This window comes from Homo sapiens, chromosome 2, assembly GCF_000001405.40.
Source record: "Homo sapiens chromosome 2, GRCh38.p14 Primary Assembly".
In the NCBI taxonomy this organism is placed as follows: domain Eukaryota; kingdom Metazoa; phylum Chordata; class Mammalia; order Primates; family Hominidae; genus Homo; species Homo sapiens.
Genome location: NC_000002.12, coordinates 141,561,635 through 141,587,800, shown reverse-complemented (window position 1 = coordinate 141,587,800; position 26,166 = coordinate 141,561,635). Strand labels below are relative to the sequence as shown.

At 36.9% G+C, this 26,166-nt stretch overlaps 1 protein-coding gene across 3 annotated transcripts in view, besides 1 other annotated feature; it reads left to right on the top strand.

Annotated features, from left to right (window-relative positions):
- The window catches only part of LRP1B (LDL receptor related protein 1B), a 1,899,594-nt gene that overhangs the window by 543,216 nt on the left and 1,330,212 nt on the right, over positions 1-26,166 (top strand). The gene's annotated exons all lie outside the window — the stretch shown is intronic.
- Positions 16,984-17,622: an enhancer, noted in NCBI's record as "NANOG-H3K27ac-H3K4me1 hESC enhancer chr2:142327748-142328386 (GRCh37/hg19 assembly coordinates)". NCBI's record gives its function as "activates a minimal SCP1, AML or CMV promoter by ChIP-STARR-seq in naive H9 embryonic stem cells {active_cell/tissue: H9 hESC(naive)}" and the evidence as "EXISTENCE:reporter gene assay evidence [ECO:0000049][PMID:30033119]".

The window sequence follows — 26,166 nt, the reverse complement described above, 5'->3', positions numbered from 1 at the left end:
TGTTTTGTTATACATGTTAATTACATGAGCATTAAGTATTTCACGTGTGTTTTGTTAACTACTGAAGTAATTATGTACCATTAATCTCAAAGGTAATTATGTTTTTAAATTCCAATAATTTCTCATAGGTTTTCAGAAATAAATTACCCTGAAAGGAGAAGAATGTGGAGGCATTTTAGTGTGTATTGCTGTGTGTTGTCTCAAAAGGGGAGGAATTTTGCATATTATTCACAGAACAACCTAATTGAAGAGGGAAAGGATATTGATATTTATTGAGAAAATAATGTACACCAGTCACTCTCTATTTGGTGTATAGTTAGTTCTAGTTGCTATTTAATGTTTTCATCATAACATTTCTTTGAACTAGGCATTATCTCCCTTTAAGAAAAAGTTACAGAAGCACTATTTATAGAAAGTAGCACACCTATTTCTATAATGCCAGGTCAGCTCCCAAAGCAAGTGCTTTTTCAACTATATGATGCTGTTCCTTGGCTTTTATTGTTAATTGTCCTATGTGGTTGACTATTTATTAGCACAATTTAAATTCTTCACTATCTATACATCTGGTAGATATAGAGAAAGGGGTTAGATGACACATATATACTTTTTTGCTGATAAGACAAAAAATAATCAGGTATTTTCTTTGCTTTACAGTCCTAGTTTTTTGCATATTTGTTGCTAGTTATAAATTTCTCATTACTTTTTTCCAATATGCAAACATTTTATAGGTGTATGTTGCAGAGTCAGTTTGTTTACGTGCCATTTTTGCAAATGGATAATGTTTTACATGCAGGTGTCATATATGAGTATTTCCTCTCCCTTTCTCTCTCTCTTCTTTTTTTTTTTTTCTTTTTTTTTTGAGATGGAGTCTCACTCTGTCGCCCAGGCTGGAGTGCAGTGGCACGATCTCGGCTCACTGCAAGCTCCACCTCCCGAGTTCACGCCATTCTCCTGCCTCAGCCTCCCAAGTAGCTGGGACTACAGGCGCCCGCCACCATGCCCGGCTAATTTTTTGTGTTTTTAGTAGAGACGGGGTTTCACCGTCTTAGCCAGGATGGTCTCGATCTCCTGACCTTGTGATCCACCCGCCTCGGCCTCCCAAAGTGCTGGGATTACAGGCGTGAGCCACCGCGCCCGGCCCCCTTTCTCTCTTTAATGCATACTTGGAATTTGTCAATGGCATTTGAGTGTGGTGTTTGTGGAGTACAAATATAAACATCATCATATATCCAAAATTTTCAATCACTTCATTTGTTCTAGAGTGCATTAAACTGTGATTTAATGGGAAATTAAACTGCCTTCTTGCTGTTTTAACCATAAAATGCCTTAGATGTATTTCAAGGCACAGCTTGTACTGGACCAAAGCTATCTCTAATCTAATAGAGTCCAGCCTTTCATTTTATTTTCATAATCCCTTTATATTTCTACAAAATAAAAAAAGCTAAGTAGTACTGAAAGGAAAAAAAATGAAAATCTCAGTAAGACTAGAGTTGATGCTAAGAATCTATCCAAAGTGATTAGCAGGTATTGGTTTTAAAGGCTTTTTATATTTTATCCTGTATAATTTATATATGTTTGCACTATGAAAATAAGGGATTTGGAAAATTAAAAATACCTGTCAAGCATTTCTATTCATATCCAACATCTCATTTAAAAGAAAAGAAAAGAGACGTGAATTGAAAAGGTTTAATGATTTCACCAGACTATTCTACTTCCAGGATAAGATTACTTCCTAAGATGCATTTTATGTTGCATCAAAGCCCATTTTAAAGTTATTTCTTCTAGCCAGGCATTGTGGTTCACATCTGTAATCCCAGCAACTTGGCAGACTGAAGCAGGAGGATGGCTTGAGTCCAGGAGTTCGCGACAAGCTTGAGCAAGATAGCGAGACCCTCGTCTTAAAAAAAAAAAAAAAGTGCACCTGTAGTCCCAGCTACTGAAGTGGGAGGATTCCTAGCCTAGGAGTTCTAAGCTGCAGTGAGCTATGACAGAGTAAGGCACCCATCTCTCAAGAAAATTTATTTAAGTTATTTGTTCTAAATATTGGAGTGGGTAACATTTCTCTTAAAATGTCTTGATAATTATCTGCTTGATTTGAATGAAGTTCCTGACATTCCAGTTAAATTATTTTATCTTCACTTCAAATTATTAACAGTGTTACTTCTCAGTTGCCAATCAGGGACATGAAATAGGCACACACACAGGCATATTTAGAAGGTAAACTCGTATATGGCAAGCATGCCTTCAACTCCTAATGTTTCAGAAATAGGGTGTCTAACTTAAAACCTATTCTCCAAATAAAGTGGCCATTCTTCCTCAGCCCCACCCCATCACACACACACACACACACACACACACACACACACACACACACACACGATTATTTCAGGACACTCACAAGCACTTCTTTACATTTGTTGCCTACTAACATGAGTATTTTGCATTGAATAAGGGTTTTCTTTTACAAGGATCCTTCATGACAGGCTTATTCAATTAAAGGGCAACATACTTATAATTTATCTTAGGATAAATAGCATAGAAAAATATCTTGGAAATATCTTAGGAAATATAGTAGATGAGTGGATTATCAGTTTACAAGAGAATTGTACTCAAGGTGAGTAGACTGTGGCAAAGAATAAGAACATCGGAAATATTACAAGGGATAACAGGTTGTGCGAGGGAAAGAGAAAAGACCGTTTTTCTCTAATTTCACAAGTTTTTCCTAATTTTTAAATTTTATTAAAAAACACATGACATAAAATTTACCATTTTAGCCATTTTTAGGTGTATAGTTCAGTAGTGTTAAATATATTCACATTTTTTGTGAGTCAGCTCTCCAGAACCTTTTCATCTTGCAAAACTGAAACTCTGTACCCATTGAACAACAACTCCGCATCTCTCCCTCCCCACATCCAGCCCCTGGCAACCACCATTCTACTGTCTGTCTCTATGAATTTGATTACTGTAGGTATCTCATATAAATGGAATTATACATCATTTTTATAATTATTTGTGACTGGCTTATTTCACTTAACATAACGTCCTCAAGAGTCATCCATGTTGCAGAATTTTGCCTCATGTTAACATTACCTATACCTAAATCATCTCACTTGACTTAAATGTTGTTAATCACTTCATGATAGTTGTGTGTGTGTTTGAAGGTGTGCATGCATGTGTGTGTATGTTGTACATTTAGCTATAGGTAATTTGGATTATACAACTGTTCATTAATAAAAATATATACATATCATAAATATTAAAAGTTGTAAATATTTGACAGACATTTCCCCCTTTAAATTATGAAATATTTCTTGTGGCTAAAATAGGAATAGGCTGTGTTCCGTCTGCATAAATTAGTATGGTCGATTCTTAACATCGTTGGTCCTTTGCCACAATTGGATCTCTTACCAAATCTGGCTCCTTTCTATTCTATAAGAGACATCAAGGAAAGGCTCTCTCATCTCACTTCTCTTTTGTCTAATCACTTGACCATTCCATCTCAGCTCTTTCCTAGATGGTAGTTGAAAAAATTATCTTCTTTTTTTTTTTCTTTTTTGAGACAAGGTCTCACTCTGTCACCCAGACTGGAGGGCAGTGGCACTATCACAGCTCACTGCAACCTTTGTCTCCCGGGCTCCAGTGATCCTCCCTCCTCAGCCTCCTGAGTAGCTGAGACTACAGGTATGTGCCACCATGCCTGGCTAACGTTGGGGGGAAATTTGTAGAGACAGGGCTTTACCATGTAGCCCAGCTAGTCTCAAATTCCTAGGCTCAAGTTATTTGCCGGCTGCCACAAAAATTTTCTGCTGCGACTCAGCCTGTTCAATGAGATCAGGAGATCAAGACCATCCTGGCTAACACAGTGAAACCCCATCGCTACTAAAAAAAAAAAAATTAGCCGGGCATGGTGGTGCATGGCTGTAGTCCCAGCTACCTGGGAGGCTGAGGCAGGAGAATCACTTGAACCTGGGGGGCAGAAGTTGCAGTGAGCCGAGATAGTGCCACGGCACTCCAGCCTGGCGACGGAGCAAGACTAAGTCTCAAAGAATAAATAAATAAAATATTCTTATATTTACCTTCAAAACAATTTCACTGAAACTGTTTCAATGATATATTGAGTGAATACATATCATTTCATAGTTTATATATATAATTATTTTATATTGTATATAATTATACATACTTTTATTTGTAATATAAAAGAAAACATAGTGTTTTTAGGTAAGAATTTATCAGAGTCAACTTCATTGATAACAGTATTCTTATTTCTGTCTTATTTTTCAAACTCTCAACTGATTTTTGGAGGGTTGGTCCTCTTAGATCTGTTATTTTTTCATTTCCTGCTTGTTCTACCACTTGATGATCGGTATTTCATTTGTTTTGCCATAAGCAAAACTTCTTGTATTTTCCCAAGTACCATCTTATTCTGTGTTTAGTATCTCTGTTTGTAACCTTTGGATCAATCACTATGACTTCTTTCTCTCCTTAGAGGTATCTGAAACATTTACTAGGCTTTATTTTTATTTGCTTTATTCATTTATATTCAGCTTGCTACTCATTCCAGATTTCCATACAATTTTTCAGTTGCGAAATAAGTCTTCCTTTCTCCAAACTGTTTGACATTAGAAGTTCACTTGACTTGAATTTATAAAAATGATTATTGTTGGCCGGGCGTGGTGGCTCACGCCTGTAATCCCAGCACTTTGGGAGGCCAAAGGGGGCGGATCACGAGGTCAGGCAATCCAGACCATCCTGGCTAACACGGTGAAACCCCCTCTCTACTAAAAATACAAAAAAATTAGCCAGGCATGGTGGCGGGTGCCTGTAGTCCCAGTTACTCAGGAGGCTGAGGCAGGAGAATGGCGTGAACCCAGGAGGCGGAGGTTGCAGTGAGCCGAGATCAGGCCACTGCACTCTAGCCTGGGTGACAGAGCAAAACTCCGTCTCAAAAAAAAAAAAAAAAAAAAAAAAAAGTTTAATAGGTTATTATCAAGATTTCAGGTATTGCTTTTGGTCAGAATCCTCAAACTAATTTTTTTAAAATGCTTCAATAGATGTTTGATAAATTTCGTATTCCCTTTCTGAGCAACTGGATTTTACTTCAACAATTTTCACAATACTGTAACACATATGGTATATTTTATCTTTACACCTTCCCAGGGTAAAGTTCACAGAAAAAAAAAAAAATCTTCAAATACTGTGTTCAGGCTGACAAGATTTCAGAGCCACACAAATATAACTAACTGCTTTCTTGTGGAGAATTATTTATTTCTCATTTTCTCTCTGGTAAAACTAGTGCCTCTCTTTGCTAGTGTCAACGATCAATCTACAGACACTATCTACTCATGAGAAAGACTGTGGCCAAATAATACTATGCCTATCAGTAATACACACACTGCTACCCTAGCAACCACACAACACTACCTGCAATAACAACACAAACAGCAGCAGGAACAACTTGTGCGTCTCATGAATTCCTTGTTTTCTTCAGTTTGCTTTAATTCTTGAATGATACAGCTTACATTTCTGAACTAATTAACTATCAATGCCCTGTTTGGTCAGTACACTGAGGCGTGGAACATGAAATAGACTAAGACAGGAATATAGCCTTACTTCTTAGAGAAAAGCCCTTTTTAAAAATAAAAAATAAAAACCTATTATGACAACTCCTGAGATAAATTTATGAGGAAATCTGAATTTTCAAGCCAGTGAACATATTTTAATTTTTAGAGATTCCCTTAGGGAAAGAAAAATTGAGGAATGAAGGTCGTTCATATATTTGACATTACTCTTTTGAATTAGAAACTTGTAACAATTAATTTTATATGTATTTTCCATACCATTTTTAAAACTTGAGCCATCCTTGTGGTAAAATTTTAGCTAGCAAATAAAGTGATGAAATATTTAAAAAGTAAAACAGCAATTGCTATGGAATAGTTATATCTGGCTTTATAGAGCTAAGAATAGTTATAAAGCCAGTTGCCCTACATATATTGTAGGACACAAATGTTTGGAATGTAATGAATGACAAAGGAAAGGGAAAAACTGCTGAACCTAGTGTCTCTGAATGTCATTATAAAGACATGATATGGCAAGCATATGAATTAAAGGCTTGAGACTCCTTGAAGGGTTGAAGCATCGTAATTATCTATAACTCAGTGTTAAAGAAGATTTTCAGACCCAATTTTTTTCATGGATAGATTATTTTTAAAGAAATATTCATGTTTTAGGGAAAGCTATTTTAGACTATTTGCTGTGTGGTGGCTGAACTTGAAAATATAGCTATAGGTTTTCTTTCTCCCATGAAGATATTTTTACCTGGTCATTACTTTAAAGATTTTACCCTCCCATCCTCCCACCTACCTAGATAGGTGTTTTGATACCAAAAAAATAAAAGATGTAATCAATATCTGTATGTATCAGAAAAAGAAACTACTAGTCAAGAAGTGAGATGGGAAAAGTCATTGGGGAGCTTAAAGTGTATTACCTAGGGCAAAATCGTTTTTAAACAATTCTCACATGGAAGTAGATGAGCTAGGGATTGGAGATTATCCTAATAAGCAGAAATCTTTTCCATTATCGGGAGCAGTGTCAGAGAGATAACTGAGAGGTTTTAGTGGAGAGAAGAAAATGCAAGTCTGTGAAAGTTCATAGAGAGTGCTTCAACCTGGAAAACAAAAAGCCTTATTTGCATATGATGCTACTAGAGACAGTGAACAGCATACAATCCATGATCATCATCAGTTTTCAAACACTTTCATGGGACATGTATACACTTATCAGGATACCTGGTACATTTAGATGAGAGGTGTTAAGTATTTAAGCAGAAGTATTCCAATAACTAATATAAACAGTCAGATCTGATGAGTTTATCTGTGCTCTGGAAGCCCAAAGGCTAATCTGTTTACATTTCAATGTGTAATTACTGCCTTCTCCCATTTGGATAAGCATCATTGAGATCTTGAGAGCAATTCTTTCTCTTTATCTGTGAAACTTCAGTGACTTTAGTATAAACAACAAATGTCTCATTTTCAAAACTCGAAGGTGTTTGCCGTGAAGTTTTGTGCTTTGTGCAGTCTGTTGTGTTTAGGTTAACTTTATGTTCGGGAAACCTGTAACAGAAGAAATGATTTTTGTTAAGTAGTATGCCTACTGCTCTTCATATTTCTATTATTTTTATATGGTCTTTCAAAGGATCTAAGGATATGTTGGCACCATCTAGGGAATATGAGGAAGTAGGAAGACTCTAAGGTTTGTCCTCACATATTTGGAGCATTATGCTTAGCCATCAAATTAATTTCAAAACACTGATATTTCTCAGTCCACACCAGAATTCCCTAAACTGTGGTAACAAGGACAAAAATGCTTATTAAGTTGATCAAATTATTTAGAGATCATGTATTTGTATGTGTCTTAAAAGCAGGTTGATAGTGCTCTGCAAAATTGGGGTTTAGTTACGTCCAAGAAGTTGCCATTGTAATTAATTCATCAATGAGTTTGTAATCTTTATCATGTAATCCAGGAGAAATATTCATGTCTTTCTTTACTCCATCCATGTGATGTAATTTATTTTACTTAAAAAAACTATTTATGTACATAGAAGACTCATTTTGTAGATCTAAATTAGTGCCTAAAATGATAATTTTTTAATGTCCACATTTCTAACTGAGATTATAGAAAGTAAGGATTCCTAGTCAAAGTATCTTGAATACCAGTGCTCAAAGCCAGAAGAACTTGGTGACAAGGTCAAATGTTTCTTATTCCCGAAATCAAAACAGTAAAGAGAAAGAAGTAAAATCCAGGCTGGGCGCGGTGGCTCACGCCTGTAATCCCAGAACTTTGGGAGGCCCAGACGGGTGGATTACGAGGTCAGGAGACAGAGACCATCCTGGCTAATGCGGTGAAACCCTGTCTCTACTAAAAATACAAAAAAGTTAGCCGGGTGTGGTGGTGGGTGCCTGTAGTCCCAGCTACTTGGGAGGCTGAGGCAGGAGAATGGCATGAACCCAGGAGTCGGAGCTTTCAGTGAGCCGAGATCACGCCACTGCACTCCGTCTCAAAAAAAAAAAAAAAAAAGTGAAACCTGATATGTTTTCCTTATGAAATTAAGAGTACACTTAAGCAAAGAACAATTTATAGAGAAAGAAAATGACTAAATTCAACACCAAATTTTATTAATTTGAATTCAACATTCAAATTTTATGCTAGTCTATTCTGCTCACCTTCCACCCCCAGATTCTGATTTATTATTAGTTCATACATGCCATATTAATGCAATCGTTCAGTACTCATAATGTCCTTGTCTCTGACTGTACCATGGAATATCTTGACACTCCCCGTTGACTTCTCTGGGCTTTCTTCTTTCTTTCAAAAAAAATAGAGGCTGGAGATCTTCTTTTTAAATATTTAAAATGTTCAGTGGCTCTCCTGGAGGAAAATGAATGAGCTAAAGTCCCTTTAGTTGATGATTTCATTTTACTATGGTTGTGAATGTGATAAATGCACCTGTCTCTAGAGAATGAAACTGCCAGCTTCGAGGAGTGCAAATGTGACTGTAACTGCCTCAATTTCAATGAGTTATTATTCACTGAATCTGTTCTGCTTGTACCGGGATAGTTTGTGCAGAGATCGTTTACAGCTGCATTTAGAAAGAAGAAGAGTAAATAAATTGGCATCCATGGAAAAGAAAAAGCCGACCTATGTATAGGTATATCCAATATAGTTTTGTTTGTTTCTCGTTAATATTTAGAATGTCACTGGTTAAAGAAAAAGCGTATCCTCATAATTAATAATCTGTATTGTTTCATGAATACACCGTAAAGAGGATCTCCTGGGACTGATCTGAGTTTTCTGGAAACTCAAATCGTCATGTATTGCAAATGTATTGCTTACAACTCAGTTCCTTTAGATGTTGCCCTGGGAATTATAGAATTACATTTTGACACACTGGTTCATTTTACTTATGGGTAATTTTGCACATACGCAGAAACCTTTACCTAAGTTCCTTCCTGTCTCTAGGGCTTCCTTCAAAATGTTCCTTACTTATTACTTCTTCAGGCAGCGTACACTTGGTTCTTGCTGTTATAATCTAAAATTGCATCAGTCAACAGGGCATTGAAGTAAATGAATTTGAGTTCAAAATGAAATATTTTAGTTTTGGAAGTTTTCATTTTTCTATCCTAGCTTTTAAGTATGTATAAATTGGGAACATTTCTAATATTTCATTGATGAACTCACTACTAAATACCAATGACTAGGCCTTTGGGTATATACATACATAAGGCCTAATGGAATACACAGTCACTTCTCATCTAGCATTCACTGTGCTCTGGGAGATTTTCTTCAAGCAAAGATGGTGGGCAGTGACTGATTTTTTTTTTCTTTTTTTCTTTTTTTTTTTTTTTGAGAAGGACTCTCGCCCTGTCACCCAGGCTGGAGTGCAATGGCACGATATTGGCTCACTGCAACCTCTGCCTCCTGGGTTCAAGTGATTTTCCTGCCTCAGCCTCCTGAGTAACAGGGATTAACAGGCATGTGCCACCACGCCCAGCTAATTTTTTTGTATTTTTAGTAGAGGCAGGATTTCACCATGTTGTTCAGGTTGGTCTCAAGCTCTTGACCTCATGATCCATCTGCCTCAGCCTCCCAAAGTGCTCGGATTACAGGCATGAGGCACTGCGCCCAGCTGACTGATTTCTTTTGGCTAAACACTTTTTAAGTAGATGATCTATTTTTTCCCCCGTTTATGTATGCAATTATCACCAGGAAAATTGTAACTATACTCAATAATATGGGCTTTACAATTGGACAGACACTTTATTTACGATATCTGGGCTCTGTGGAATATTCTTTGAAATTCTGGAAATCATTATGTCTAAGGCTGAGGTGTAAGAAGCTCTGCATTCCTTCCTGCCTTGATTTTGCTACTTCTAAAGTAAGCATGACAGTGATATAATAGTTTATGAAGACTGACTAAGAAACAACTTGTGTCCTGCCAGGAGAATACAGTAATCATGCTTTAGAAGCACTGAATTTATTGAAGTCACAAAAGTACAATTTAATACATTAATGTAGTAAGTTATTAAATGGTGCCCCTATGATCTGCGAGAGGTAATACACTATCACGTGTTCCAAATTTTCACAGGAAAAGAATCATAGAATCCTATAGCTGAAGGGGGCTTTAGCGGGGATCTCTACAAATGCCTGCCAGGTGCTTGGATATCCTCCATCACATCCAGCCATGAGAAGTTACTTGTGTCATGGTACGGTGATCATTACTCCCCAGCGCAGCTCAATCCACTTCCAGACTGTTCTAATTGTTGGAATAATTTTCCTTATGTAATTCAATTTCCCATCTATTAATTTATGAGATATTTATTTAAAACTGACCGTATTCCAGGAACTGGGCTAAACGAAGAAGAGTAGTGAATTAATACAGAAATCACCCTTGATTTGGCAGAATATTTTCCCTGGTAGTGTAGGTCACCCCTATTGTGGTGATAATCCCCCAAATCATACAGCAAAAGAAACAACACACAGACAAAAACCAAGTCATTCTTCTAGGATGTTTTCATCCAAGGATTTGAAAAGATTTAGGTGATCTTCCATTTTTCATCCTATGCAATCTGGGCTATGCTACTACTTTACAGATTGAAAATATATTTAAAAATCACTGAACTTTCAATAGTCACCAATGATCACTGTTCTAGTTGCAGTTACAATTAGGTGTTCAAGGAAACACTTATAACTTAAATTTAATGTCTAAATCTTACACCTTTAATTGGAAAAATAATGTAATAAGTGAGCAATTAGATTATCTAGTATTAGAAAATAACTGAGGATTGGCTGGGCATGGTGGCTTATGTTTGTTATCCCAGCACTCTGGGAGGCAGAGACAGGAGGATTGCTTGAGGTCAGGAGTTCGAAAACAACCTGGGCAAAACAGCAAGACTCCATCTCTACAAAAAAATTTAAAAAAAAAAAAGAAAAGACCTGAGTATTAATGTATGCTTCAGGGTCAGACTGAAGCTTTTTTTTTTTTTTTTTTGAGACAGGGGCTCACTCTGCTGCCTAGGCTGGCATGCAGTAGCAGGATTATACCTCACTGCAGCCTTGATTTCCTACACTCAAGGTTTTCTCTCTCCTCAGCCTCTCAACTAACTGGAACCATAGGCATGTACAACTAAACCTGGCTAATGTTTAAAATTTTTTTAAATTTCTTCTTCTTCTAAAAAAAAAGAGGGATACATGTACAGAACGTGTAGGTTTACTACATAGATATACATGTGTCATGGTGATCTGCTGCACCTATTGACCCGTCCTCTAAGTTCCCTCCCCTCATCCCCCGCTCCCCAACAGGCCCTGGTGTATGTTGTTCCCCTCTCTGTGTCCATGTGTTCTCAATGTTCAACACCCACTTATGAGTGAGAACACGCAGTGTTTGGTTTTCTGTTCACAGAAACTTATGTGTTACTTATGTGTTAGTTTGCTGAGTATGATAGCTACCAGCTTCATCTATGTCACTGCAAAGGACATGATCTCATTCCTTTTTATGGCTGGATAGTATTCCATGGCATATATGTACCACATTTTATTTATCCAGTCTATCATTAGGTATTTGGGTTGGTCTTTGCTAAATAGTACTGTGATAAAGGTATGTGTGCATGTGTCTTTATAGTAGAATAACTTATATTCCTTTGGGTATACACCCAGTAATGGGGTTGCTGGGTCAAATGGTAATTCTGGTTCTGGATCCTTGAGGAATTGCCTTCCACAATGTCTTCCACAATGGTTGAACGAATTTACATTCCCACCAACAGTGTAAAAGCATTCCTATTTCTCCACAGCCTCGCCAGCATCTATTATTTCCTGACTAATTGCCATTATGACTGGCATGAGATGGTATCTCATTTTGGCTTTGATTTGCATTTCTCTAATGATCAGTGATGTTGAGCTTTTTTTCACATGTTGCCCACATAAATATCTTCTTTTGAGAAGTGTCTGTTCATATCTTTGGCCACTTTTTGACGGAGTTGTTTTTTTTTTTTAATTGTAAATATTGTTTAAGTTCATTATAAATTCAGGATATTAGACCTTAGATCAGTAGATTGCAAAAGTTTTCTCTCATTCTGTAGATTGTCTGTTCACTCTGATGATAGTTTCTTTTGCTGTGCAGAAGTTCTTTAGTTTAATTAGATCCCATTTGTAAATTTTGGCTTTTGTTGCAATTGCTTTTGGCATTTTTGTCATGAAGTCTTTGCCCATGCCTGTGTCCTGAATGATATTGCCTAGTTTTTCTTCTAGGGTTTTTATGGTTTGGGGTTTTACATTTAAGTCTTTAATCCATCTTAAGTATAAGGTGTAAGGAAGGGGTCCAGTTGCAGTTTTCTGCATATGGCTTGCCGGTTTTCCCAGCATCATTCACTAAATAGGAGTTCCTTTGCCCATTGTTTGTTTTTGTCGGGTTTGTCGAAGATCAGATGGTTACAGATGTGTGGCATTATTTCTAAGGTGTCTGTCCTGCTCCATTGGTCTATATGTCTGTTTTGGTACCAATACCATGCTGTTTTGGTTACTGTAGCCTTGTAGTATAGTTTGCAGTCAGGTAGCGTGATGCTTCCAACTTTGTTCTTTTTGCTTAGGATTGTCTTGGCTATACAGGGTCTTCTTTGATTCCATATAAAATTTAAAATAGTTTTTTTTTTCCAAATTCTGTGAAGAATGTCAATGGTAGTTTGACGGGAATAGCATTGAATCTATAAACTGCTTTGGGCAGTATGGCCATTTTCACAATATTGATTCTTCCTGTCCGTGAGAATGGAATGTTTTTCCATTTGTTTGGATCCTCTCTTATTTCCTTGAGCAGTGGTTTGTAGTTCTCCTTGAAGAGGCCCTTCACATCCCTTGTTAGCTGTATTCCTAGGTATTCTATTCTCTTTGTAATGATTTTGAATGGAAGTTCATTCATGATTTGGCCCTCTGCTTGCCTATTGTTAGTGTAAAAGAATGCTTGTGATTTTCACACATTGATTTTGTATCCTGAGACTTGCTGAAGATGCTTATCAGTTCAAGGAGTTTTTAGGCTGAGATGTTGGGGTTTTCTTAATATAAAATAATGTCATGTGGAAACAGAGATGATTTGATTTCCTTTCTTCCTGTGTGAATAATCTTTATTTCTTTCTCTTGCCTGATTGCCCTGGCCAGAATTTCCAATACTATGTTGAATAGGAGTGGTGAGAGAGGCATCCTTGTCTTATACCAGTTTTCAAAGGCAATGCTTCCAGCTTTTGCCCATTCAATATGATACTGAATGATACTGACGCTGTGGGTTTGTCATAAATAGCCCTTATTATTTTGAGATATGTTCCATCAGTACCTAGTTTATTAAGAGTTTTTAACATGAAGGGATGTTGGATTTTATCAAAGGCCTTTTCTGCATGTATTGAGATAATCATGTGGTTTTTGTCTTTGCTTCTGTTTGCATGATGGATTACATGTATTGATTTGCATATGTTGAACCAGCCTTGCATCCCAGGGATGAAGCTGATTTGATCGTGGTGGATAAGTTTTTTGATGTGCTCCTGGATTCGGTTTGCAGTGTTTTATTGAGGATTTTCGCATTGATGTTCTTCAGAGATATTGGCCTGAAGTTCTCTTTTTTTGTTGTGTCTCTTCCTGGTTTTGGTATCAGGATGATGCTGGCTTCATAAAATGAGTTAGGGAGGAGTCCCCCCTTTTCAATTGTTTGGAATAGTTTTAGTAGGAATGGTACCAGCTCCTCTTTGTACTTCTGGTAGAATTCAGCTGTAACTCTATCTAGTCCTGGGTTTTTTTTGTTGGTAGCCTATTAATTACTGCCTCAATTTCAGAACTTGTTTTTGGTCTATTCAGGGATTCAATTTCTTCCAGTTTAGTCATGGTAGAGTGTATTTGTCCAGCAATTCATCCATTTCTTCTAGGTTTTCTAATTTTTTTGCATAGAGGTGTTTATAGTATTCCCCGATGGTGGTTTGTATTTCTGTGGGATCAGTGGTGATATCCCTTTTATCATTTTTTATTGTGTCTATTTTATTCTCTCTCTTCTTCTTTATGAGTCTAGCTAGTGGTCTATTTTTTTGATTTTTTTCAAAACCCAGCCCTTGGATTCATTGATTTTTTTTTTTTTTGGAGGGTTTTTCGTGCATCTATATCCTTCAGTTCTTCTCTGATCTTAGTTTTTTTCTTGTCTTCTGCTAGCTTTTGGATTAGCTTGTTCTTACTTCTCTTGCTCCTTTAATTGTGATGTTAGGGTGTCAATTTGAGATTTTTCTAGCTTTCTGATGTGAGCATTTAGTGCTATAAATTTCCCTCCTAACACTGCTTTAGCTGTGTACCAGAAATTCTGGTACATTGTCTCTTTATGCTCATTGGTTTCAAGGAACTTCTTGATTTTTGCCTTAATTTCATTATTTACCCAGGAGTCATTCAGGAGCAGGTTGTTCAATTTCCATGTAACTGTGTGGTTTTGAGTGACTTTATTAATTCTGAATTTGAATTAGATTGCACTGTGGTCTGAGAGACTGTTATGATTTCAGTTATTTTGCATTTGCTGAGGAGTGTTTTACTCCCAATTATGTGGTCAATTTCAGAATAAGTGCCATGTGGCACTAAGAAGAATGTATAGTCTATTGATTTGGGGTAGAGGGTTCTGTAGATGTTTACTAGGTCCACTTGGTCTAGAGCTGAGTTTAAGTCTTGAATATCCTTGTTAATTTTCTGTCTCATTGATCTGTCTAATACTGACAGGTGGGTGTTAAAGTATCCCAATATTATTGTGGTCTATGTCTCTTTGTAGGTCTCTAAGAACTTGTTTTATGAATCTGGGTGCTCCTGTATTAGGGCATAGGGCATAGATATTTAGAATACTTAGCTCTTCTTGTTGAATTATTCCCTTTACCATTATGTAATTCCCTTTTTTGTCTCTTTTGATCTTTATTGGTTTAAAGTCAGTTTTGTCAGAGACTAGGATTGCAACCCCTGCTTTTTTTGTTTGTTTGTTTGTTTTGCTTTCCATTTGCTTGGTAAATTTTCCTCCATTCCTTTATTTTGAGCCTATGTATGTCTTTGCACATAAGATGGGTTTCCTCAATACAGCACACCAATGGGTCTTGACTCCTTTTACAATTTGCCAGTCTGTGTCTTTTAACTGGAGTATTTAGCCATTTATATTTCAGATTATTGTTGTTATGTGTGAACTTGATCCTGTCATTATGCTGCTATTTGGTTGTTTTGCATACTAGTTGATGCAGTTTCTTCATAGTGTCATTGATCTTTTATATTTTGGTGTGTTTTTGCGGTGGCTGGTAGTAGATTTTCCTTTCCATATTTAGTGCTTCTTTCAGGATCTCTTGCAGGGCAGGCCTGGTGGCAACAAAATCCCTCAGCTTTTGTTTGTCTGGAAATGATTTTATTTCTCCTTCGCTTATAAAGCTTAGTTTGGCTGGATATGAAATTTTGGGTTGAAATTTTTTTCTTTAAGAATGTTGTATATTGACCCCCAATCTCTTCTGGCTTGTAGAGTTTCTGCTGATAGGTCCACTGTTAGTCTGATGGGCTTCCCTTTGTAGGTGACCTGACATTTCTCTCTGGCTGCCCTCAAGAGTTTTTCCTTCATTTTGACCTTGGAGAATCTGATGATTATGTTTCTTGGGGTTGATCTTCTCGTGGAGTATCTTAATGGTGTTCTCTGCATTTCCTGAAGTTGTATGTTGGCCTGTCTTGCTAGATTGGGGAAATTCTCCTGGATAATATCCTGACATGTGTTTTCCAGCTTGTTTCCATTCTCCCTATCTCCTTCTGGTACTCAAATCAATCGTCGGTTCAGTCTTCTTATGAAGTCCCATATTTCTTGGAGGCTTTGTTCATTCCTTGTCATTCTTTTTTCCCTTTTCTTCTCTGCATGTCTTATTTCAGCAAGGTGGTCTTCAGGCTATGATATCTTTTTTTCTGCTTGGTTGATTTGGCTGTTGATACCTGTGTATAATTTACGAAGATCTTGTATTGTGTTTCTCAGCACCATCAGGTCGTTTATGTTCCTCTCTAAACTGGTTGTTCTAGTGGCAATTCCTCTAACCTTTTGTCAAGGTTCTGAGCTTCTTTGCATTGGGTTAGAACATTTCCTTTGGCTCAACATAGTTTTTGATTACCCATATTCTGAAGCCTTCTTCTGTTAATTCGCCGATTTGATCCTCCATCCAGTTCTGGACCCTTGATGGAGAGACATTATGATCATTTGAAGGGGAAGAGGCACTCTAGCTTTTTGAGTTTTCAGCATTTTTTCTTTGATTTTTTTTTCTTATCTTTGTGAGTTTGTCTAGTTTCGGTCTTTGAGGCCATGCTGACCCTTGGATGAGGTTTTCGTTGGGGCATTTTTTGTTGTTGTTGTTGATGCTGTTGTTGTTGGTTTCTGCTTGTTTGTTTTTCTTTCAATAGTTAGGCCTCCTCTTCTGTAGGGCTGCTGCAGTTTGCTGGGGGTTCACTTCAGGCCCTATTCATCTGATTCACTCCTGTGCCTGGAGATGTCACTCAAGCGGGCTGGAGAACAGCAAATGTGGGTGACTGCTCCTTCTTCTGGGACCTCTGATCTCAAGGGGCTATAACCTGATGCCAATAGGATCACTCCTGTATAGGGTGTCTGACAACCCCTGTTGGAGCGTCTCACCCAGTTGGGTGGCACAGGGCACAGGACCCGTTTAACAGGGAACTTTGTCCCTTGGTGGACGGGGTGTGTCTCCAAGCTGGAGGGAAACCCACTCGTCTGGGCTGCCTGGATGTCTCAGAACTACCAGGAGGAGAGGCTAAGTCAGCTGGTCCACAGAGACTGCAGGCACCCCTCCCCCTTGGGGCTCAGGCCCAGGGAGATCCAGATTCTGTCCCTGAGCCTCTGGCTGGGAGTTATTGGAGTTCCTGCAGAGAAGCCCCGCCCAGTGAGGAAGGATGGGTCCGGGTCAGGCCTGAAGAGGCACTCTGGCTGCAGATTACCACAGCTGGTGTGTTGGGCTGTGGGGAGAAGTCTTGATACAGAGCCGTCCAGCCTCCTTGGCTTCAGCAGGGGGAAAAGCACAGCCTGAAGCTATAGAGATGGATGCCGCCCTTCCCCCAACCGGGGAGCTTAGCTTGTTAGGCAGTTGCCAGTTCCAGTGCTGGCTGCTACCCCTCACCCTCTTCCGAGGTCAAACTGTTTAGATAGCAGGCAGCCACAGCTCCAGCCAGTGCTGGTCACCCCTCCCCCTGGGAGATCAGTAGGCTTAAGCAGATTCCAGCTGAGAGGCTGTAAAATAATCTGTGCCATCCAAGGTTGGGACACTAGGCCCTGGTGGTGTAGATTCGCAAGTGGGATCTTTCAATCTTGGGTTCCACACATCTGTGGAAAAAGCACAGTTTCTCTGGCTGGGTAGCACGCTCACTCACTGCCTCCCTTGGCTAGGGGAGTGGGTTCCCCTGCCCCGTGTGGCTCTCAGGTGGGCCGTCACACTACACTGTTCTTCCTTCTCTCCATGGGTCACACCAGGCTTCTAGTAAATTTTGATGAGAGAGTCAATTTTGATGATCCACCAACCCAGAGGCCTTCGTTGGGGGTGAAGGATTCACACACTTATTATGTTTTGTTTTGTTTTGTTTTGTTTTCCCATGGGAGCCTCCAAATGCCTCTGCTTCTAGTCAGTCATCTCGGCCCCACCCCCTTAAATATTTTCTAGAGACAGGGTCTTGCTATATTGCACTGATTGGTTTCAAACTCTTGGGCTCAAGCATTTCTCCTGTCTGTGGCCCACAAAGTGCTGAGATTACAGGCATGAGCCACTGCATCTGGCCCTTTTAAAATATCTTACAAATATCTTAAAATGCCATCTGTAAGGACATATGTGAAAAATTAAATATAAAAAACTGTGTTCTCAATTTTTCTCACTTGCTTTCTTAGATGTGCCTTCATCTCACATGTCCTTCAAAGTAGCCCTTGACTGAATTATTTATTTTTTTAATGATAACATCAAGCAAGAAGAAATAAAGTTCAGATCAGACTAGTTAACACTTGTTAATTTGGCATTTTCCAGCCAGCCAACTTTAAAAATGCTTTGGATTATGAATCAATCCAAATAACTTCACCATTAAAAAGGGAGTCTGAGTCCAACTTCTATAGTATTTTAATGTTGCTTAAAACATTTCTATTATTCTGTACACAGGGCATTGTTACATCAAATAATACAGTTGAGACATTACAGAATCTAACATTTTGGCCTACTTTTGAAAAATCATTATCTATATGACTAGTTCCTCCCTCTCCAGACCCAGATAAACCTCTCCTGATATTTCAGAGATGTTTTGAGTTTTCATGAAATAACTTCTGTTTTTCAAATGTTCATGATAATCTACATTCTTTTTTTTCTCAACTGGAATGCCTTTCACTTTTCTGAAAATGCCCTTTTTTTTATATTTCTAGGGCCTGCTTAAAATCCTCCTCTTCAGTGAAGTTTTTCCTAACCCCCATCTCTTAACACAAGCTAGAAATATGTTCCCCTTTTTGAGACATTGTAGCGATTTTTCTCTACCTCTTATATGATATTTACCATTTCCTGAGTTGTTTTCAAATGATCTCCTATTGAGGTGAGATTTGTTAGAATCTGTATCTGATTTACTTTCCTTTCTCCAATTAGATAGCATAGTGCCTTACATACATTTGGTACCAAATAAATGTGATGGCCGGGCACGGTGGCTCACACCTATAATCCCAGAATTCTGGGAGGCTAAGGCAGGCAGATCACCTGAGGTCAGGAGTTTGAGACCAGCCTGGCCAACATGGTGAAACCCTGTCTCTACTACAAATATAAATACAAAAAAAAAAAAATTAACTGGGCATGGTGGCACACACCTGTGATCCCAGATGCTCAGGAGGCTGAGGCAGGAAAATTGCTTGAACCCAGGAGGTGGAGGTTGCAGTGAGCTGAGATCGTGCCACTGCACTCCAGTCTGGGTGACAGGGCAAGACTCCATCTCAAAAACTAACTAAACTAATGAATATGAAATAAATGTTTGATGACTGACTAAATGAACAAATTAACATATAGAAAAATTACTTTATATTACGTTTTGCTTAATAAAAGTATATAGTTAGTTTGTCCAAGTATTTATATATTTCTCAGCCTATTCCATATCATGGATATCAAAGATCTGTAGATGAAACTACTTAAAAGCTTATTTTGTTAGCAATGTTGAATCCTTGTTTCCTTAACTCATGATCAAATGCCGAATTCTGATGGATATACTATCAGAGTCTTCATTTTTTGGGTGGTTGTCTTTGTGGCAAAGAACTTCTTTCTTATATTCAACCTATTTCTCATGTTCAAGAAATACTTCAACTCATTTTACCTTTACTTCTTGAGGCACTCAGGTAAAAATAGAATCCTACATCTCTTTTACAGTTGGCTCTAACCTTCCTTTTTAAATAGTCATATGCATAGTGATTTTTTTAATTTTGAAAACTGTATATAAATCTCATGAGAAAATGTATGTAAAATTATTTTGACATTCTTAAGTCCTATGACATTGTGATTTTGTTAGCCAGCCCATCCTTAATGCTCTAACTTTATCCCGCACTTATGTCCAAGCTTCTTTCCTTGGTTAGTTATGTTTTTGTTTCTACATATAATAGAAAGTAAGATCCTTAAGGAGCAGCAAGCAAGTCTTAAATATTTGTCTTTATTGCTTAGCATGACTCTGGACAGTTCTATGCTTTTAGTAAATGTTTGTTGAAAGCCTGAATAACATGGAAGCTATTCAGTGATAAACAACTGAACCAATAATATCAGGCACAAATTTGGACAATCACCGTTTGCTCCCCTATAGCTCCCTTTGGCAAAATCTACAACAGAAGAAGAGAGGCAAAGTTCTGCCTTCTTTACTGTTTCCAATATAAATCCAGGCTAAGCCTGTATTAGGAAATTGGTTTCCTAGGGGCCCTTCCACATTTAACCCTAAGAAATTCTAATCAAGGTGAATCTTTAGTAGTCCAGATTTAAGGTCTGTTTAGTTTCCCAGGTAAAATAATGAAAGAGTTCATAAGCAGATTTCCCACATACCTAATGTAATTTCAGAGCATATTCTAAACACTTAGAGAGTCTCTTTTAACATATAATAGTCATCACCTAATTTCTCATCTTTTCTTATTATTTAACATGTAAAAGTTAGGAGAACTCAATGACTTCACAGCAAATACTTTTCCTTGGTCAAATCTAAAAATTAATGTAAATTATAGGTTGAATGCTTTAAGATGTCATTAGGAAACCTACGTAAAAAGAATTGGAAACAGAAATATGGCAACTAGGTGTCCTGAAAATGATTTACTAACAAATATTTTCATATCTATTGGTTTTTGTTCTTTGAAACAAATAACAAAATCCTTAGCCTATGAATGAAGTAGTTATTTTTAGGTAAATGTTTTCTTTCCTTAACAATTTTATATATAATTATTGCAATTCTTCTTGGATAATGTTGTCTTCAGTAGGAAAAAAAAATGATCGCAATTTGTGAATCCTAAAGTAATTAGAAACATGGTCTTATAAGTTTCCTTTCCTTAGACATCTGATGCCATTGCATAGTCAAGGAATTTGGGAGTTTTGTTCAATCAAACTTGCCCTTTTAAAAAGTTTTATTTATAACAACAAACACAATAGAATTATAACTGAATTATACTAAAATGATTTCCTCTTTTTTCTAATTTTCTAATCTTTTTTCATGATCTTCCTATGTAAGAATGCTAGCTGTTGCTGGCCAGGTTGATTGAAGCAAATTAAGATAACCCTTAGTGAACTATAATTATTAACAATGATACAATTTCTTTAAGCAAATTCTGTTCAAAGTGCCTTTATTTCTAGGAATTTACTTTAGTTTTATTTTTAATTTTTTTTAAGAGATGGGAGTCTCAGTCTCTTGTCCAAGCTGGAGTGCAGTGGCATGATCATACCTCACTGCAGCCTCAAACACCTGGGCTCAAGTGATCCTCCCATCTCAGCCTCCAGGGTAACTGGAACAACAGGTGCATGACATTGCACCCATCCAGGAGTTTATTTATAATCAGTAAGAATACTTAATGAGAAAGGGGATGTGGTATTTCCATTTCTTAGATGAGAAAATTAAAACAAAGAGAGGTTGGAGATTTTATATTTATTAGATAGTCACGTTTCACATGAAGTTACTCATACTGGAAGACCACACATAATGGAAAACAAATACCAATAAAGAATGGTGGATACATTTGCATGCCAGTTACACTGATAGAAGATATACAGTTCACCATCATTCTGTCTTCCATATGGAAAATTATACAATTCTTATTAATTTTTAAATTTTATGGGAATGCTCATAATTATGTTTTTGTGCATAAAGTCACTATTTCTACTTTACGTAATTCTCAACATGTCTGATTTTATATAATTTCATTTACTATAAGTGAAAGTTACATCGTTTCTTTAATTATTTCTTCTCTTTGACAGCTTGGGTTTGTTTTTGGCAGAGTTTTAATTTCCCAGTCTGCCCTTTTTTGTTGTTGTTTCTGCAGATTCAGGAGGATATTGGAGGGATCACCTTGCTAGTTCTTTTTTCTTTTTTTTTTTCCTGAAATGTGGCTTAGTGGGTTGACAAAGAACAGTAGTTGTTAAAGTATTTTAATAACATTTTCTGCCAGGCATATTATTAGTGGAAGGTGATTTGCAGCCAGAAATACCTATATTTGAATCCATATAAGGTCATTCCTTGCACCTTTAGGCAAGTTACAACCTCTCTTATAAAATAAGAAAAGCAGCTCATGACTTGGTAAAATAAAGAAATGTAAAGTGCCAGGCAGAGTGCCTGGCAAAAAAAAATGGTGCTCAATAATGTTAGTTATATTTTCAATTATGATTGACCTTAAGAAACTGGTATTTCCAGAAGCACAGCAAGAAGATGTGAGATGAAAGTCAACAGTGATTAAGATTTCATTTCCTGATTAAATATACAAACAGTGTACCTCTTAACTTACCATTATGTAACTTAGTTTAATCTTGGGTTCTGTTTATCCTTGAACTGATATATTTTGCCATTTCATATACGCGTATGCGTAAAGCACAAAATAGTGCAGGAATGTTAGGAAGTGTGGAATGCCATTAACTTTACTACTAAAAGTTTGGGATAAATGAACTACATAGGTAGAAATATGAGTAAGATAGGATGTTCATCCCAATAAAATGATAATAAAATCTTTATTGCATCCCACATCATTACCTGCTGTATTTTGCTTATGTTGGATATAAAGAAAAAAGGTATTGCAGACTCTTTCTCTGCAGCTCTTAAAAGCCTTGATTGATCATCTTTTTGCTCCTTTCCACTTATAATGTCAAGTTCCTTAGGCTTCAGATGAAAGGACAGAAAATAAAAATGTAATGAAAAAATGTATTCTAATTTCATTTGAATCGTGTCTCCCAGGGTGGGGTAAATAAGCTAAGCCCTGTGGAACACACTGTAGATATAAGCAACCCGGAGACACTAAGCCAGAAACATAAAAAATGTTCTCATTCATTCTTAGAGCAGTGAATTCTTGAATTCACAGTATGCAGCATTGGGTGTATTTGGCCTACAACTCTGAAACACAATGGACTCTTAATTCACAAATGTAAATAACAATTATTTAGGTGGCTCTAATAGTGGACCAAGACAACAGAGCTAATTATAGCAGTATCAAGGTTACCAACTTTGCTCAGCACACAAATTCTTTTTCAGGTTGCCCAAAACATTATTGAATATAAATAAATTCTTCATTTAAAATGTCTTATTCCTTCAAGTTCTTTTATTCATTATTAATGTGATTATGATTATCATTATTATTACATCTTTATTGCTAGGTTTTATTTTTAAAAACCCTTATTACCAGATATAATGCACTGTTCTTAGTTACTTAGAAAAATAAACTCATGCTTATTTTTTGACCTTTTGCCACAGTATAAATCATTAGAGTGTACTACTTTTACATTGTTCTCTGTTCGATGAAGCTCCATCTTTCCCTTCAGTTTATATCATTTCTCTTGTCCTTTGTGTCTGACACATGCTTTTAGGAGCTTCTAGTACTGATGTCCCATTTTTCTTTCAAATACATGCTGAACGTATCCCTTTGACACATAACCAAACTTCGGGGATCATAACAGGAGAATTTACATGAATAAAATGACCATTATGTAGCCTCAAAAGTCTATCAGAGAAGTCACATCACCTTGATTCAAATTCGAATAATTTCTACTCTCCTTATGCCCCAGCCCAACTCTTATTCTCTCTTTGTCCATGTTGCACTACTAGCCTCACTAGTTATTTCTTTAAGATCAAGAATATCCTAAATTCAGTCCTTCAACGTGCTTACTCTCCAATGAACATCTGCTTTGCTATTTTCACAGATTCTTCTTTTTCTCCTGTTTCAGAGATAAAAACACCAGTTTGCCTCTCCAAGTTTAACTCCTTAACCCTCATTCTTTGTCCCATGTCTTCTGCCATTATTGCCTTAGAAAATGTGTTCCACATTATCTCTCTTATAGTCCACATTTAAAGGTTCTGATTATGTACTAGAATCTTTTTCAAAAACTGTTAACACAAATAAGTCCTTCATTTCTCAAACAAAATCTTCACTCAATCTTCTAAGTTTGGAAATCTAATATATCTTTTATTTCCTGAATCCTATAAATTGCAGTATAGTTTTTAATTTTTCCTTTTTGTAAAATAATTTCAACTTTTATTGTAGATTTAGGGGTACATTTTCAGGTTTGTTACGTGGATATGTTGTGTGTTGCCGAGGTTTGGGATGTGAATGATCCCTTCACCTAGATAGTTAGCATAGTACCCAACGGTTAGCTTTCCCCGTCTCCCTCCCTCTCCTCTCCATGAGTCCCCAGTGACTATTGTTGCCATCTTTATATCCGTAAGTACTCAGTGTTTAGCTTCCATTTATAAGTGAGAACATACTGTATTTGGTTTTCTGTTCCTGTGTAATTCTCTTAGGATAATGGCCTCCAGCTGCAACCATGTTGCTGCAAAGGACATGATCTCGTTCTTTCTTACACCATACGTTTTCTACTTCATTTTATTCCTTACCTATTTTTACACTTTTTAAATTTAGGTTCTTCTCAACCTGTTCTATAGATACTACATAGTTTTACAACTTCTCTCAAACTTCTTACTCCTTGAATCTTTTGCATTTTAAAATGTCAGTAGCCCTCTTCTTTTATCCTCTCCTTACTGACATTCTGTTGTATTTCATTCATTTTCTTCTAGCTTCCCTAATTAATGTTTCTCTGTTTTCATCATGGATATATTTCCTTCATCCTGTTTTCTTAAAGAGGAGTGTACTTGGAGGTTCTGCCTGACTTTTATTTTCTCTCTACACTCTTTTCTTTGGCAATTTATTTATTTCCAATCTCACTTCTATGTAGATATTTCCCATTTCAAAAGCTCTAGTGCTTACTTCTTCCAAATCTGGATCAACATTTCTAACAAAATGTTGAACATCTCCATCTGGATGTCGGCTACCGTAGTTTAACCACAATGTGTTTAGAGCTGAATTAATAATCTAAACCCTGAACTACTCTGTCTGCCATGCCTATCCTGTAAATGACACTGGTTTTATTAAGGTTCTAACAATCACCTAATACCCAGGCTTATTTAACACCATCTTTAGCTTCTCTCCACTTCATATATCCAGTTCTGTTTGCTCAAGATTTCAGAAGTTTTCACATCCCTTTCCAAGCCCAATTTCCATTTCTGCTACCTCTACCTTTATTGTCTCATATTATGGTATTATCATAGTTTCTTAATTGGTCTTATTGTTCATATTAATTAATTCTCTAATATTCCAGGGTGCTTTGAGATAAAATCTTTGTTTCCATATTTCTAGTGAGGAAATTTCCTTCCTCAAAAAATATGCAATTATTACCAGTTGTCTACAGAATGGAGTCTAATTTCCTTGCCCTGTATTCAAGGTACTCGAATATTTGAAATTCATTTTCCTTATGACCTAGGTTCTTAAGCACGCTCATACATCTAGCCATTTAAACAAGCAACTTTCTTTTAAACACTTCTTACTTTGTTTTACGGAGTGAAGCCAGCGGTTGTGCAACTTTCTCTGCCTGGAATACCCTTGCAGGTGCCTGTGAAGATCTGATCTACACTTCAAAGTCTGTATTCTCTGGCCCTTATTATGGAGCTATGTAGAGATTGCCAGAGATAATATTAAGTATGCAAATGCAGACATCAGGTTTAGTGAGTAATCTGCAAAACAGAATCATGAACGTGTAGTAGAGGTCAGTAGTGGGGAGTAATAGTAAATTAATTAGTACTATACTGAGGGAGTAAGAAAAACTCAGTCCATTGCCTCTCTGAGTTTTAGATAAGTGGATAGCTATTGGATATGGAAAAGAAATCTCTGGGTCCATTCCAAAAAGCTTTATCCAAATGACTGAAATGTTATCTTAGGTTTCCTAAAAGAAAGGTACCTCTTAGCCTCTGACATAGTTCGTGTGACACCGTGCTCATAAATCCTTCCCTGAATTCTCTAGGTCAGCTTAGATTGAATCGACTTCTCAGCCTCCATTATACATCCTTTTTCCTCTTTTATATAACTTACCTATTATTTTTGACCCAATGTTAAAAGTGTTTCTGTGTATAACACATCTCTCCATTTAAATTGTAGATTCCTGGAGGCTGGGAGCTTTGTTTTACTTACATTTATATCCTCATTTCTATTCTGTATAACCCTTGTTGCAAAGTTGACAGGCACTACTAAACATTTGTTAAGTGAATTTGTAAGTAAAACATAGGAGATGGTTAACTTCTATTGGCAATCTGTTCTGGAAATAATAAAATATTTTTTAAAAATAAGCTATCGTGGTAATGTTAAGACTTACAGTATATAGATTGTGAAGAATTCACTTATTTTTTTGCCTAAAATTCTAGATAAGACAAACACATTTTGTCTTTATATTAGAGTATAGTAGAAAGAGGTTGTCTTTGTACTATAACATGTAACCATTATCACTTTAATTACAGATTAGAAGGAGAGGAAGATTTGTGAAAAGTGAAGAAAATTGACAATCTCTGATTTCAATCTTAGACTAGGCTATG